Source organism: Homo sapiens, chromosome 1 (genome assembly GCF_000001405.40).
Source record: "Homo sapiens chromosome 1, GRCh38.p14 Primary Assembly".
Classification (NCBI taxonomy): domain Eukaryota; kingdom Metazoa; phylum Chordata; class Mammalia; order Primates; family Hominidae; genus Homo; species Homo sapiens.
In genome coordinates this window covers 143,805,770-143,822,947 of record NC_000001.11, presented here as the reverse complement: position 1 = coordinate 143,822,947, position 17,178 = coordinate 143,805,770, and the positions used below count along the sequence as shown (strand labels likewise).

Here is a 17,178-nt window from a genome sequence, read left to right as displayed (position 1 = left end):
AAATAAAATAATTAATTTATTTAGAGACTCTGTCTCTAAATTAAAATTGGTATTGCATTGAATCTTTAGATCAATAAATAAAATAAATAAAAAGTCATCACCAAACCCAAGGTCATCTAGATTTTCAGCTGTTGTTATCTTTTAGGGTTTTTTTTTTTTTATCATTTTATGTTTTACATTTAGGCCTATGATCCATTTTGAGTAAGTTTTCATGAAGAATGTGAAGTCTGTGTCTAGATTCACTTTTTTTGCATGTGGATGTCCCGCTGTTCCAGCACCATTTTTTGAAAATACTATCTTTTCTCCATTGTATTGCCCTTGTCCCCTTGTCAAAGATCAATCTGCTATATTTTGGAGTCTTCTGGAATCTCTATTCTGTTCCGCTGACTTATTTGTCTATTCTTTCACAAATCTTATACTGTCCTGATTACTGTAGCTTTACAGTAAGTCTTGAAGTCAGGTCATATCAGCCCTCTGTTCCTTTTCAATATTGTGTTGGCCATTCTGGGTCTTTTGCCTCTCTATGTACACCTTAGCATCTGTTAGTTGATATTCACAAAATTTATTTGCTGAGATTTTGATTGGTATTGCATTGAATCTTTAGATCAAGTTGGGAAGAACTGACATCTTGACAATATTTAGTCTTCCTGTCCATGAACACAGAATATCTCTCTGTGTATTTAGTGCTTCTTTGATCTCTCTCAACAGAGTTTTGCAGTTTTCCTCATACAGATCTTGTACATGTTTTGTTAGATTTTACCTTGACATAATCACTTACTAGTTCCAGGAGATTTTTGTTGTCAATTCTTTCAGATTTTCTTTTCTTTTCTTTTTGTTTTTGAGATGGAGTCTCACTGTGTCGCCCAGGTTGGAGTGTAGTGGCTCAATCTCGGCTCACTGCAAGCTCCGCCTCCTGGGTTCAAGCCATTCTCCTGCCTCAGCCTCCTGAGTAGCCTGGCTACTATTTTGTTTTTTTAGTAGAGACGGGGTTTCGCTGTGTTAGCCAGGATGGTCTCGATCTCCTGACCTCATGATCCGCCCACCTCGACCTCCCTAAGTGCTGGAGTTACGGGCATGAGCCACCGCGCCCGGCCTTTTTTTTTTTTTTTTTTGAGTCAGTGTCTCACTTTGTCACTCAGGGTGGAGTGCAGAGTGGCACGATGTCATCTCACTGCAACCTTTGCTTCCCGGATTCAAGCAATTCTCCTTCCTCAGCCTCCCAAGTAGCTGGATTACAAGCGCATGCCACCACGCCCGGCTAATTTTTGTATTTTTTGTAAAGACAGGGTTTCACCATGTTGGAGATTTTCTATAATACAATAACTGCATCATGTGTGAACAAAGACAGTTTTAGTTCATCTTTTCTAATCTGTATACCGTTTATTTCCTTTGCTTATCTTACTGCATTAGCTAGGATTTCCAGTATGATGGTGAAAAGAAGTGGTAAGCGGGGAAATTCTTGCCTTATTGTTGATGTTAGTGAGAAAGCTTCTAGTTTCTAGTATGACATTAGTGTAGAGTTTTTATAGATGTTCTTTATCAAGTTGAGGAAGGTCTCCTCTATTCCCACTTTGTTGAGAGTTTTTATGATGAATGAGTGTTGAATTTTGTCAAATGCTTTTTCTTCATCTATTAATATGATCAAGTGATTTTTCTTCTTTAGCAAGTGGCAGGGAAAATGACAATCTTAGAAGGGATCTTTCACATAAAGATTGTTTTCATTTCCTTCATTCCTTTTACCATATTCAGGACACTAAACATATGCTAGAATTCAGTGTGTGGCCTCCTTTGGTGATACTCTCAAGTTCCTTCTCCTAAATTGCTATAACCTATCAGTTATTCCTATCTACCTTTACTTCTTTTTTTCTACTTTAGGAAGTATCATTCCTTGATTCAGGATCAGGCTCAAGAGTTAACCCACCTACGGCAGAAGATGAAGCTTGGGAGAGTGGCCTCTGTTCTTCTCATCCAGCATGTCAAGAACACACTAAAGACCTTTGAGGAGCTACTCCAGAGCAATAACATTGACCACTATATGGAGCAGCACTACTGCAAGCAGCTGGCCAAAGGAAGCCAGCTGGCAGAGAGCCTTGCCAGAAAATTCAGCACAGGTAAGTTGGCCGCAGAGCTTAGGAAGATTTTCAGTCTCTCCCAAGGTCCTAAGTTCACAGGATCCCACCCCCATTCACATGTCACTTTTCAACCTGGTGTCCTGCTTTGTAATCACCACCTTATGACCATGACAGAGTCAGGACTGGCTGGAGAGGAGCTCCAAGAAGAAGGGTTGAGGATGCCATGATGATCACCAGCACCTCCATCCCTCATGGAATATGACTGTTAGGGCAGGAGGCATCCCCAGGGATGATGGTATTCATCTGAAACTAATTGGCAGAAAGACAGAAGGAGCAGGGGCAGCTGGTTTTTGTGAAGGGCCCTGAACTGGGAATCCAAAAACCCTACCTCTAGCTTATATGTGTTCCTTACCAGCTCTGGACAGGTTAATATTTATTTTGATTTCTGTTTCTCTACCTAAAAAATTAAGTCAAATAATTCCAGCCCTTGAATGTTGCATGATTGTTCTAGGGATTAAATAAGTAACATTAATCGGCGCACTTCAAAAAAATGATAAAGAATCATGCTGACTTTGGCATGGTTCAGGCACTGTGTGTACTAGTACACGGTGGTGAGATAATTAGCTGTTTCAGGAGCATTTTACATGAAATTCCCCCTTGAGAACCCAAGGGCCCATAGTAGCAGAAGGCTTGAGTTCACTGTGCTGTCTCCTGATGGTAGGTGGGACACGGATGTCTATCATCTCCTTGGAGAAGGGAGGAAGTTCTGCATGAAAGCTATGGTGGAACACACAGCCATGGGTTTGGGTGCTGGCCTTGTGCCAGGACTTGGAGGCTTTGGCTGGAGTGGATATGTGTTCCATGATATGTGGGAATAAAGACATTTTTAGCTTTTTGCTGTGACTCAGGGCAAAGCAAGTGGAGATGATGACCTTCATGGTGGGCTCAGGAAAGCCTGCCAGGCAAGCTCTCTAAAGACTCAACCCAAGATCTGAGAAAATTCAGAGTATCCTGGAATCAAGGCAAGCATCAGGTAGTCAAGTCTCTGCTCCCAGATAGACCTCCATGTTTGTTTGCAGTCTGGGAAATGAGACCTGCTTAAAGCATGACTGGCCTTTTTGAATTTTGTTCTCAGATGACTGTACAAGTAAGAAGAATCAAGTAGGACAGGTGTCTTCGACTCTCAGGTAACTCCAAATTTTCAGGGGCTGTCGAAGATGTAATCTGGTGAAGGATCCAGAAGCAAGAGCCAGAAGCTCAAAGAAACAGGAACATACATGGCCAGTAAAAAACAAATAGCTTATTTATCCATTAAACCATTATGTATCCTTAGGGATAAGGCAGTCTCATTTTTAAAATTTTTTAAAAAATATATTATTCTTTTATTTTCACCAATTAATTCACCAATTTAGTAACATAGAGCTGCTCTAACCTATCTGGGTCTTAGGAGTCTTCTGAACCTCCAGGGATCACCTCTGGTTTCCCTTATTTAAAGACCAGAGTAAGATTATATCTGATTTCTTCAAGGGTGACCCAAGGAGTGCTGGAAGATGTAAAACAGCTACAAATTTTCCTTGCAAACAAAAGTTTATACTGTGTCTCTATACTTAGGGAAGGAGATCTAGAAACTGCAAGACACCAGTGAGGCTACATTGCCTGGGGAATCTGTTTTAAATGGCCTATAGCAAATACTATTTTAAAAATTATGTTCACAGAATGAGTTGAATTCTTTTTTTTTTAACATTTTTAAAATTTTATTTTTGAGATGAGGTCTTGCTCTGTTGCCCAGGCTGGAATGCAGTGGCACGATCACTGCTCACTGCATCCTTGACCTCCTGGGCTCAAGTGATCCTCCTCAGCCTCCTAAATAGTTGGGACTACAGGTGCACACCACCACACCCAGCTCATTTTTTATTTTTATTTTTTGTAGACAGAGGGTCTCACTATGTTTCTCAGTTTGGTCTTGAATTCCTGGACTCAAGCAATTCTCCTGCCTTGGCCTCCCAAATTGCTGGGATTACAGGCATGTACCGCCATACCCATACCTGGAGTTGAACTCTTATGGGTCTCTGGCTGTTTTGTGAAGGAATCATGAGTGTTATTTAAGGGGCCCATTACGGCTTCGTTTTTCCTCAGGATGTTTGTAGCCAATGCACCAGACAACTGTTGCTCTCTCTGTCCCTGCCTTCCCTCCATACTCTATCCTGAAACAGAAATGATTTGTTTGGCTTCTCCTCTGAAGGAATGATCCTCTTGACCTCCCCTTTACATCTCCTGTGAGCCTCCAGATTAGTACAGCTGTGGCATTAGGTGACCTTTATTTTTTCTTCTTTCTTACCCCACTAGTATCTTGAGGAAGATGCATAATATGAGTAAAGTGACAGAAGTCCTAGAGACCAAGTGGGATGCCCGGTCCCAGACTCAGCCCCAGATCTGGTGCAGCAACCACACCCGGTCTACCCCACATCACTCCCTGAGCAGCACGTCTCCACAGCTTGACAAGGAGGAAGTGCATCCTTCAGTGACTGTAGTCAGTGAGTAGCCACATGGCTCCAGTTTTTGGGGCTCATGCATTGTCTAGGCCAAGAGGTGGCATCTTTGCAGCCGGGCCCTGTAGATCCACCGTGATGTAGCTGGTCGGGCACAGCTCCAGGACTCAGTGCTGAGCATAAGCCCCAAGGCTTTCAGGTAGCTTTTCTCCATTCCCAGTCCCACATGTCATCAGTCACTAGATCCCCTCTGGCACATACATGGTGTTGGTCTTGGGGGGCATGGGTTGGGAAGGGGAGAAAGGGGGCAAATAGTTCCTCTTCACTGCACACAGTTATGTCATCTTTCAAACTAGGGACATGAGTGTTGCTAACATTGTGCACCTAATCCTGGAATCCCTGGGGTAAACAGCCACAGTTCCTATTTTTTGTTCATCACTAAATCATCTTTATCATTTATGCATTTACAGATCCCATCCATCATCCTAATAAGTTTGCTGCAACACCCTCTAAACTATCAGTGAATGGGGCCATGCTGTGAGGTTCAAGCTGAGTCCATCACCAACCAGCGTGTCCCTCCTGAGAATTTCCCTGAGAGGGTCCTTGGGATAGCCTTGATAGAGACGGGAAGAGGAGATTAAGTTTTAAACCAGACTTTCATTTTTCTCCTGCTCAGTTTTCTCTTTAATTTTCCTCTTGAGAAAAGTGTTTGAAGTTTTAGGCCAGTATGAATCATATCCTAATGTGGACAATACCAAGAAATTATTTTTAGTCCCTGGCTGTATCTGGTGTTTTTTTCTAAATTGGCAATTTTAAGTAATGAGTGAGCCATAATGGTTTTTAGTTGTTGTTGTTGTTTTTGAGACGGAGTTTTGCTGTTGTCGCCCAGACTAGAGTGCAGTGGCACAATCTCAGCTTACTGCAACCTCTGCCTCCCAGGTTCAAGTGATTCTCCTACCTCAGCCTCCCAAGTAGCTGGGATTACAGGTGCTTGCCACCACGCCAGGCTAATTTTTATATTTTTAGTAGAGATGGGGTTTGACCGTGTTGGCCAGGCTGGTCTCAAACTCCTGACCTCAGGTGATCCAACTGCCTCAGCCTCCCAAAGTGCTGGGCTTACAGGCATGAGCCACCATGCCCGGCCCATAATGGGTTTTGATCTGGTACTATTCCTGTTTCTCATTTCACAATGAGGAGCAAAGCGGCAAAATGTTTCCTCTAAGATTATAGCAGCCAAGGAAAGACAGGAACTTCTCATTGATTGAGCACCTATTATGCTCACAATATTGACCACTATACATATATTTCCTCATTTAATTGACACAGTGATCCCCTCAAATAGGTAGTGGTGTTCTGCTTTTATAGTGGAGGACACTGAGGCTCAGCAAAGTTAAGGAACTTACTGAAGACAAAGCAGCTTGGGGTAACATACACTTTGAGTCTACCTGACTCAAAGCTCAGGTTGTGAGCATTTCACTCTGCAGCCTGAGAAGTCAGGGGCTGCGTACAAAGGGTGCTCACTCCTTCTCAGCACCTCTTTTGCTAGGCTTCTGGAGCCAGGGTTTTTCTCATTCCACTTTTTCTGCTCTGTGCACCCAGCAGAGTTCTGGCCTCTGAAGATGGGACAAGACCTTACACATATTACACTTCTATCTAAGAATTTGTAAATAGATGAGCTGCCCTTGATATGTACATCACCTATTCCAAGGGGCCAATGGGACTTTTATGTGCATCCTTGATTCAGTTGCCCAGAGGCACTTGTTTCAACCTCAGCACTGCCCCAAGAGATGGCAGAAGGGCAAGCCCATGCTTCCCTTACCTGCAATCCCTGCCACTGCCTGCAGTGAGGTGTGGCCTCTGGAATGATGCTTCTGGAGAGCACCAGCTTTACTTTTTGCCACAACTGTCTTTCCTGAGGGAGATCGAAGCCCTTCTCTTTCCCACTTGAAGTCACTGTCCTTTCACAGGGGCAACTGTTTATCACCACTTCCTCTTTGGTTTTTGAACCAAAATTTCTAGAACAGTCAACCTGTAGTGCACTGGCATGACAGCTACATTGTGAGGCCAAATTTCCTTCACAAAAGTCTAGTCTCTGTTGCTTTCCATCTGCAGTGTAGGGCATGTTCCCCATGTGGTATGGCCAGGGAACGTTAAAACACTGATCACTGTTACTGATAAAACTTAGAGCTTCCTATGGCCATGGTTGAGAGTAAACTGATTTTCTGAGATAAAGGAGGTTTGAAAGGGGGTGGTAATCACATTTTGATTGAGTTCCTACTTTAAGTCAGGCATTTATTAAAGACTTAACATAGTTGTCGTTACTCTTTATCTCACAGTGATTCTAATTAGTATCTGATATTTTATAAATTGGAGAAGGAGAGACCTACTGGATACTGATTTAAATATACAGTTCCTAAAAGAACGTGATGTTGTTGAGGGCAAACAGAAACCTCACTCCCACCTGCTCAGAGGAGAAACTTGTCTATTCTTTAGCCCTTGATAATAATCCTCGAAAGGGAAAGACTCTAAAACTTTTCTCTGAATTATGGCCCTGCCACCCCAGCTTGGTTTTTCTCTCAAAGGGAGACAGTAATGAAGGGCCCAGAGGATCTGGCCATGTTCTCATGGCATCATTGAGCTGTAAGATGCCATGTATTTTGTGATTCTACAATCCTCTATGCAAGAGTACACTAGCTATTCTATGGACAGGAGCCAGACAATGTGAGCTGTACATAAGAATTATTTTTGCAGTGTCAAAAGCCATTCTAGGTGGAATCCAAATCACCACTTGCCTTAGACAGACACCCCCTCAGCTTCACTGCAGGTCCAGAGTCAGCCGAGGCCAGAGAGAGAACCACCAGGAGTGGAAGCAACACTCTCTAGGTTCTCTGCACATTGTCCAGAAGTGGAGGCCATTTTCTCCTCCTCCTCCAACAGCCTCAGTGTAGAACAATCCCAGGAAGGAGTAGCTGGTGTGTTTCTGGCAAGGGCATAGAATGTTGAATAAATAGTCACCTGTTTACAGACCAACAAAATGCTTCACCCCTCACTGTCTGAACTCCTAGGATTGGCTGTGAGTCCTGCTATTAGGAGAAACATTTCTGAAGTACCTCCCCAGGATCATTCCAGCATTGGGAATCATAAAGGGAGCTAGGAGAGGGGCCCCATATTTTTCCTGTATGTGCGCTGTGATGCTCAGATATTACAACTAACACTACTGCTTATGTCATAGGCTGAGAAATGCCAGTTACTTTAGGGTGAAATGGGAAGTCCTTGGGAAATGAGTCTGCTGACATCTGCCTTAGTCTTCATTCCGTGGATTGCTTTATTAGCTTTCGAGGGCTTCCAAAACAAAAAAACACAAACCGGGCGTCTTAAAACAGAAATGTATTCTCTCACAGTTCTGGAGATGAAGACGTCTAAAATCAGGGAGTCAGCAGGGCCATGCTCCCTCTGAAGACTCCAGGGAAGGATCCTTCCTTGCCTCTTCCTAGTTTCTGGTGGTTTCTGGGTTGTAGACACATCACCCCAATCTCTGCCTCTCTTGTTACATGGTCTCCTTCTCTGTGTGTCTCTTTATCTCTGTGTCTCCTCTCCTCTCATAAGGACATCAGTCATGTTGGATTTAAGACATACCCCCAATTCAGTATCATCTCATCTTAACTTATTATATCTACAAAAACCCCATTTACAAATAAGATCACATTCTGAAGTTCCAAGTGAACTGAATGAATTTTTGGAGGACACTATTCAACTCACTATAATTACCTTTAAAATACTCTTTTATGACTTCCCTGTTGGTTTCTCACTCACATTCCTTTCTGGACAGATGCCAGCCCTGCCATTTCTGCTGATTCAGCTGCTTTGCCCAGCAACCAAGGAACCAGGTCTGCCCAGCCCTTCCATCCTTCGAGCGGCACTGGCCCAGCAGAGCAGGACACTAGAACACGGTAGCAGTGGCCCATGGGAAGAGATGAGGCCTCAAAAAATGAATGCATCTGGAGACCTAGCCTCCTTCTCCTCTTTGTACCAACCCAACTCCGAAACCTCTGGTAAAACACAAAGGAGCATTTAGTGAAATCGAGCCCATTGGTAGGAATGACACATTCCTTTCCTGGCCAGAGGATTTTTTGGTTCCTCTGTTAGAACCTGGTTCATAAAAAATGACAGGACAATATGTAGATCAGCCAGACAGTGAGAACCAGCTCAGTGCTTGTTCTTTGAAAGTGCCTTCTCCTAGCCACCCTACCTAGGAACTCACTCTGGGCAGGAGAGTAGGAGAAGTCAGGGACATTCTGAGGTGCTCTACAAGGAGGATAAGTTACCTCACACTTAAATGTTGCCTTCTCTCTGTGCTACAACCTTCTTAGGCCTAGATTAAGACTGTCCTGGAATGCTAAGCTCAGATTTCCATGGGGAAGGTCTTCCTTAGGTCAGGAGCTACTGTCGGATGGGAAACTATTTCTACAGAGTCACCCAGCCCTACACACTCTTTCCACTCTTTCACACACATCTTTCACACACACTGTGCATACAACCACGTGCCAATCCTGCCCCCATAAATATTGCTTTTGGATTTGGAACCAAACATCCTGGCACCCGGCAGCTAGGAGTGCAGCTATTTAGAGGAATGGCTTGAAGCAGCTCCATTTCTGTGTCCCAGGTAGTGTAACAATAAGACATTTTAAATTCTCAGAGAAAAGCCTGACCCTACGCAAAATCTCCCAGTGGGTGAAGCCTATTCTCAGCCTCCTCTCTCTGTGCATCTTTTTCCTTCCTTGGAGATTGTTCCCTTCTCTCCTGTTCCCCCACTTCAGATCCTGATACCTTCCCAAGCTCTTCCATGTTCCTCTTTGCCAAAACTGGTTAAAGGAGAACATTCACTATCACTCATTATTCACAGCCTGGTTTAATTTCATATGCACTTACCTTGGTCTTTCTGTCTGTGAGTGAGTGAAATCTCAAAGGCTGTTGAGTCGGGATCATCATCGGGGAGAGGGATGAGGTAGAGAGGGAGATTCTCTGGATTGTTTTCCATACCAAGGAGGTAGACAGCCTTTCCCATTACTAGGCCAGTTCTGCCTAGAGGCCTTTAGCAGTTTCTCACCCTGTGTCCATCTCCCTTAGATGTACTTGGTGGTCTCTGTCTGGGAGGAGGCCTGTGGTGTTTCCTTACAGGGGGCCACCCTGTGATTGAAAGCCCAGGACTTTTAAGTAAAGTTGCCTGGTGCTTCCTGAATGCCCAGGAGAGAGGAAGAAGCTGACAGAAGGATAGAGATAGGTAGGGATCTTGCAGAGAGATGCCACGCAGGCCCCACAGCTGCCCAGGGATGATCAGGCTTCCCTACCTCCTACCTCTCCTATGTCTTGGTGTTTGCAGTAGGGGCAGACCTGCTGGAAAAGAATCTTGCTGAGATACAGAACCTGCGCCAGCGCCTGGAGGAGTCCATCAGTCTCAATGACCGCCTGAGGGAGAGGCTGCAGCATGTGCTTAGCAATGGTGACCAAGGAAAAGGTAGAAAGGCAGAAATTTTATGTTTCTGTCCACGTCTAGGGAGTCTCAAAAGGGCACATAGCTTCTTGGGGCAGAGTTTTACCGGTTTAAAGCACATTGGTGTGCATGATTTCACTTGTTCCTTACAATTAGCCCAGATAGGGAAGCAGAAGGGTACTATTGCTCCCACTGAGTGGTTTGCCCCAAGCAGGGATAGGTCTAATTCTCAGGACTATCTGAAGTGATGTCATTCTTATATGTCCTTATACTGCCTGGTGCTGTTCTTGGGCTTGTGGCCTGACTGGCGAGTGGTAGCACCAAGGTTTCCATGGTGCCCACTTCAGCAGAATGAGAGCAACGTTCCACCTTTATGCCATTACTACATGCCTTTGATATCACCTGGCTCTTCTCTTGTGCTAATGACCCTTATTTCCACACTCTTCACCCTGGATGCTCTCACTTGGAGACCAGTTCTTCCCCATCCCTTCTTCTCTCATATTAAAGCCAGAAGAATGATGACCTACAACATCATAACTGAAGCCAATTAGTGGGAAAGACCCTGATCCATACCTGAAGCCACTGCACATGAGAGTGTGTTGCCTACTCTGGTGTGCCCAGCAAAACCTGAGCCTGAGCCATATTGCACTGCTATCCCAGTGCAGGAGGACCTCAGGTTTTCAGATTAGCTGAGACTAAAACTTTAATGGATGCAGGAAAGTACATCTTTGAAAGTATCTGTTACCTAAAGGTATGACTTGTCTGGGTTGTTTTTATTCCCTGTGAAGTATCTACCTCCATCTTCCATGGGTAGGACCTGTAGTCCACACCCTAGTTGTGCAACAGGAAAAGGGCTCAGGGAAGCAAACTGGAGTTTTCAGGCTTCCAGAAGGAAAAAATCAAAGCTGAAGTCACTTCCATATTTCTTCCTTTCTGCAGCGATGCCCAGTTGTAGAAGCAAAGAGAAGTAGGCAGCACAAAAGTTGACCAGATCCACACAGCCTAAAACTATAATAGCTTATTCCCAATCTAGATAAGGCTGCTTCTTAAAAGATCCCACCTACATGTTCGCAGACTCCTGGCTCCAGGAGTAAATATCTCTGGAAAATCTACATGTCATGTTTAAGTTCCTTTCCCAATCTTTGCAGATAATCAGAGAGTCACTAGCTGTCAACTAGAAAGCTTGGTGTCTCTCTTCCTGTCTTTCCCACTTTCACCTGGGTACGGAATAGGAGAGAAGAAATTAAGTTTTTGTTTGGTACAATCAATGAATCTCCTAAATCCCTCCAGACTTCATTGCAGCCCTGTCTCTCCCTCCCTAGGTACTGCACAGTCCACTGTAGCCCCTCATTCATATACTCAGAGTCACTCTTCTGGCTGTGGTGAGGACATCCTGTGACATGATGCCTAGAGAGTCTGGAAGAATGTTCTCCAGAACTTTTCCAGCCCTATCCAACAGAATTCTTGGGTGGGAACTTGGAGGCATTGGATATTATCTTTAAATGAAGAGATCAAATTAATAAATTATTTTTAAAATTAGTGTTTATATTTATTTATTGAACACCTATAAAGAGTAAAATTTGTGTAGAAAAGAATAAAACCAGAATGGTCTGAAATGTGTGGAAAAGCTTAAAGGAGAAATGAGTTTTCTTTATTAGCTATCTCTGTTTCAGAAGACTAGAATGGGAATTTCACTGCTGTGGGAAGGTAAGAAATATTAATAGATAGTGAGGATGTAGAATTCCTTGACTTCCATTACATGCTTAGGAAGAACAGAAAAACTGTCACATGTGAAAGGATTGCAGAATAAAATCTGAATGTTTTAAAATGAGGACAACTTACCATACCAGGTGAGCTTCACTCAAGAGAATGACAGAACTCGTGAAGAGCACGCTTGCCTCGAGCCTGGAATATAGCCATTCTGACTACTGTGAGATGATATCTCACTGTAGTTTTAATTTGCATTTCTCTGATGATTAGTGATGTGCATTTTTTCATATGTTTGTTGGCCGCTTGTATGTGTTCTTTTGATAAGTGTCTAGCCATGTCCTTTGCCCATTTTTTAAATAGGGTTATTTGGTTTTGTCTTGTTGATTTAAGTTCCTTATAGAGTCTGGATATTAGTCCTTTGTCAGGTGCATAGTTTTCAAATATTTTCTCCCATTCTGTAGGTTGTCTGTTTACTCTGTTGATTATTTCTTTTGCTGTGCAGAAGCTTTTTAAGTTTAAGTCCCATTTGTCAATTTTCGTTTTTGTTGCATTTGCTTTTGAGGTCTTAGTCATAGGCCAATGTCAAGAAGAGGTTTTCCTAGGTTTTCTTCTAGCATTTTTATAGTTTGACGTCCTATATTTAAGTCTGTAAACCATCTGAATTAATTTTTGTATATGGTGGGAGGTAGGGGTCCAGTTTCATTCTTCTGCATTTGGCTAGCCAGTTTTCCCAGCACCATTTATTAAATAGGGTATCATTTTCCTCATTGTTTATTTTTGTCAACTTTGTTAAAGATCAGTTGGTTGTAGGTGTGTGACTTTATTTCTGGGTTCTCTATTCTTATCCATTGATTCATGTGTCTATTTTTGTGTCGGTACCTTGCTGTTTTTGTTGCTATAGCCTTGTAGTATAGTTTGAAGTTAGGTAATGTGATGCCTCCGGATTTGTTCTTTTTGCTTTGGATTGCTTGACTATTTGGGCCGTTTTTTGGTTCCATGGGGATTTTTTTTTTTTTTTTTTTTTTGAGACAGGGTCTCACTCTGTCACCCAGGCTAGAGTGTAGTGGCATGATCTCGGCTCACTTCAACCTCTGCCTCTGGGTTCAAGTGATTCTCCCACCTCAGCCTCTTGAATTAGCTGGGACTATAGGTGTGTGCTACCACGCCTGCTAACTTTTGTGTGTTTTGGTAGAGATGGGGTTTCACCGTATTGGCCAGGCTGCCCTTGAACTCCTGACCTCAAGTGATCCTCCTGCCTCAGCCTCCCAAAGTGCTGGGATTACAGGTATGAGCCACAATGTCCAGCCCCATAAGAATTTTATAATTTTTTTTTTTAATTCTGTAAAAAATGACATTGGTAACTTGATAGGAATTGCGTTGAATCTTTAGATTGCTTTGGATAGAATGGTCATTTTAACAATATTGATTCTTCCAGTCCACAAGCATGGAATGTTTTCCCATTTGTTTGTGTTGTCTATTATTTCTTTCATCAGTGTTTTGTAGTTCTCCCAGTAGAGATCTTTCACCTCCTTGGTTAAATATATTCCTAGGTGTTTTGTTTATTTGTGTGTGTGTGTGTGTGTGTGTGTGTGTGTGTGTGTGTGTGTGGCTATTTTAAATGGGATTAAGTTCTTGACTTGGCTGTCAGCTTGAGCATTTTTAGTGTATAGAAATGCGATTGATTTTTGTATGCTCATGTTGTAACCCGAAACTTTACTGAACTTGTTTTTCAAGTCTAGGAGTATTTTGGAGGAATCTTTAGAGGTTTCTAGATGGAGGATCATGTCTTTGGTGAACAGAGATAATTTGACTTCCCTTTTTCCTATTTGGATTGCTTTTATTTCTCCTGACTGATTACTCTGGCCAGGATTTCCAGTACTGTGTTGAATAGGAGTGGTGAGAGTGGACATCCTTGTCTTGTTCCAGTTATTAGGGGGAATGCTTCCAACTTTTGCCTATTCAGTATGATATTGGCTATGGGTTTGTCATAGATGGCTCTTATTATTTTGAGTTATGTTCCTTTGATGCCTGGTTTGTTGAAGGTGTGTATCATGCAACGGATGTAACATTTTATTGAATGCTTTTTCTGCATCTATTGGGATAATAGTATGGTTTTTGTTTTTAATTCTGTTTATGCAGTGAATAGCATTTTTTTTTTGCGTCTGTTGAACCATCCTTGCATCCTAGGAATAAAGCCCACATGATCATGATGAATTATCTTTTTGATGTGCTGCTGGATTCAGTTTGCTAGTATTTTGTTGAGAGTTTTTGCATCTGTGTTCATCAGGGATATTGGCCTGTAGTTTTCTTTTTTTATTGTGTCCCTGCCAGATTTTGGTATCAGGATGATACTGGTTTCATAGAATGAGTTAGGAATCCCTCATCCCCAATTTTTTGGAATAGTTTTAGTAAGATTGGTACCAGCTCTTCTTTGCACGTCTGGTGGAATTCAGCTGTAAAATTCTGTCTGGTCCAGGGCTCTTTCAGATTAGTAGAATTTTTATTACTGATTCAATTACATAACTCATTATTGGTCTGTTCAGGATTTCAATTTCTTCCTGGTTCAATCTTAAGAAGCTGTGTGCTTCCAGGAATTTAACTATTTCTTCTAGGTTTTTCTAGTTTGTGCATGTAGAGATGCTCATAGTAGTCTCTGAGGATCTTTTGTATTTCTGTGATATGAGTTGTAATGTCACCTTTGTAATTTCTGATTGTGCTTATTTGGATCTTTTTTTCCTGGTTAATCTAGCTAGTGGTCTATCAATCATTCAAATAACCAACTTTTCATTTCATTGATCCTTTGTATTTTTTTTTTTATCTCTGTTTCATTTAGTTCTGCTCTGATCTTAGTTATTTCTTTCCTTCTCCTAGCTTTGGGTTTTGTTTCTTCTTCTTTTCCTAGTTCTTTAGGTGTGGTATTATGTTGTTAATTTGAGATCTTTCTATCTTTTCAAGGTAGGTATTGAGTGCTATAAACTTTCCTCTTAACACTGCTTTTCTATATTCCAGAGTTTTTGGCACATTGTGTCTCTACTTTCATTTGTTTCAATTTTTTTTTATTTCTGCCTTAATTTTATTGTTTACCCAAAAATGATTCTGTTGTTTAGTTTCCATGTATTTGTGTGGTTTTGAGAGTTCCTCTTGGCATTGATTTCTGCTTTTATTCTACTGTTGTCTGAGAAGATACTTGATATAATTTCATTTTTTAAAAAATTTATTGAGACTTGCTTTATGACTGAGTATGTGGTCAATCTTAGAGAATGTTCTGTGCACAGATGAGAACAATGTATATTCTGTGGTTGTTGGATAGAGTATTCTATAGACATCTATTAGGTTCATTTGGTCAAGAGTCCAATGGAAGTCCAAAGTTTCCTTGTTAGGTTTCTGCCTCAGTGATCTGTCTAGTGCTGTCAGTGGGATGTTGAAGTCCTCCACTAGTATAGCATGGCTGTCTATTTCTTTGCTTAGGTGTAGTTGTATTTGTTTTATAAATTTGGGTGCTTCAATGTTAGGTGCATATATATTTAGGATAGTTAAATCTTCTTGTTGAATTGAATGCTTTCTGATTATGTAATGCCCTTCTTTGTCTTTTTTCTTTTTTTAACTCTTGTTGGTTTAGTCTGTTTTACTTGATACAAGAATAGCAACTCCTGACCTTTCTTGTTTTCCATTTGCATAACAGATCTCTATCACTTTACTTTGAGCCCCTGGGGGCTATAACATGTAAGATAGGTCTCTCTTAAAGGCCATGGAAAGTTTGATTTTTTTTTTTTCCCAATTTGCCACCCTATGCCTTTTTTTTTTTTTTTGATGGAGTCCCAGGCTGAGTTCAGTGGTGCGATCTTGGCTCACTGCAGCCTCTGCTTCCTGGGTTCAAGTGATTCTCCTGCCTCAGCTTCCCGAGTAGCTGGCATTACAGGCGCCCACCACCACGCCCAGCTAATTTTTGTATTTTAGTGGAGATGAAGTTTCACCATGTTGGCCAGGCTGGTTTCGAACTCCTGACCTCAAGTGATCCACCCACCTTGGCCTCCCAAACTGCAGGGATTACAAGTGTGAGCCACCACACCTGGACTACTCTATGCCCGTTAAGTGGAACTTTCAGGCCATTTACATTCAAGGTTAATATTCATGTGTGAGGTGTTATTTCTGTCATAGTGTTAAGCTAGTTGCTTTGTAGACCCAATTATATATTGCTTTATAAGGTGTACGAGCTTTGTAATTACATGTGCTTTTATGGTAGCAAGTACCATCCATATTTAGAACTCCTTTGAACATTTATTATAGAGACTATCTGGTGTTAATGAATTCCCTTAGCATTTCTCTGTCTGGGAAAAACTATTTCTCCTTCATTTATGAAGCTTAAATTGGCAGAGTATGAAACTTTGACAGGCAGTTTTTTTTTTCTTTTAGGTGGCTAAAAATAGGCCCCAGTTTCTTCTGACTTGTAAGATTTCCTTTGAAAAGTTTGCTGTTAGTCTGATGGGATTTCCTTTATAGATAATCTGGCCCTTTTCTTCAGCTGCCTTTAAGATTTTTTCTTTCACATTTATCTTGGGAAGTCTGATGACTGTATGCTTTTCACTGGTTATCTTGTATAGTATCTTGCAGAAGTTGTCCGAATTTCTTGTATCTGAATATCAATCTCTCTTGAAAGGTTAGGAAAATTCTTTCCTGAATTATTCCTTCAAATATGTTTTCCAGGTTGCTTACTTTTCTTCTTCTCTCTCAGGAATGCCAATAAGTCATAGGTTTGATCGCTTTACATAACCCCATAATTCTCAAAAGCTTTGTTCATTTTTAAAAATTCATTTTTCTTTACTTTTGTCTGACTAGGTGAATTTGAAAGACCAACCTTCAAGCTCTGAAATTCATTCTTCTGCTTGTCTAGTCTATTATTAAAGCTTTCAATGTATTTTGAAATTCCTTTAGTGAATTTTTCAATTATAGAAGTTCTATTTGTATTTTTCTTAATATAGTTTTCTTGTCTTTCATATTCTGTATTGTTTTTCTGATTTCTTTGCATTGGACTTCAACTTTTTCTTGGATCTCATTGAGTTCCCTTGCAATCCGTATTTGGAATTCTTATCTGTCATTTCCGACATTTCAGTCTGGCTAGGATCCATTGCTAGAAACTAGTGTGATCCTTTGGAAGTGTGTAAATACTCTGGGTACACTGGAGTTATTGCACTGATTCTTTCTCATCCGAGGAAGCTGTTGCTTCTTAGTTTTGAATTTGGTATTGTTTGGATGAGGATTTTTAATGTTTTTATTCTTTTTTTCCCTTGATGGTATGACTGTGGTGTATGTTGTGTATGATTGTTTGGCTTCATTTCTGGGTGCTTTCAGGGAGCCCTAGCTTTGTATGGGTTTCTTGGTTGTGGATAGCTTCTGAGCAGTAGCTTTCTCAGATGCT

At 41.6% G+C, this 17,178-nt stretch overlaps 1 pseudogene across 5 annotated transcripts in view; it reads left to right on the top strand.

Annotated features, from left to right (window-relative positions):
- PDE4DIPP3 (PDE4DIP pseudogene 3) overlaps positions 1 to 11,546 on the top strand; it is a 28,902-nt pseudogene extending 17,356 nt beyond the window's left edge. For 3 of the 5 annotated variants that reach the window (XR_001737706.2, XR_001737707.2, XR_001737708.2), the window contains 5 exons: positions 1,876 to 2,111; positions 3,208 to 3,259; positions 4,419 to 4,606; positions 8,391 to 8,613; positions 11,375 to 11,546. The product of XR_001737706.2 is annotated as a PDE4DIP pseudogene 3, transcript variant X1 (transcript). Of the gene's footprint in view, positions 1 to 1,875; positions 2,112 to 2,980; positions 3,106 to 3,207; positions 3,260 to 4,418; positions 4,607 to 8,390; positions 8,614 to 11,374 lie in introns of those variants that run through there. The other 2 variants (XR_007066540.1, XR_922031.3) reach the window with 2 other exon arrangements.
- Positions 11,547 to 17,178: the final 5,632 nt, after the last annotated feature.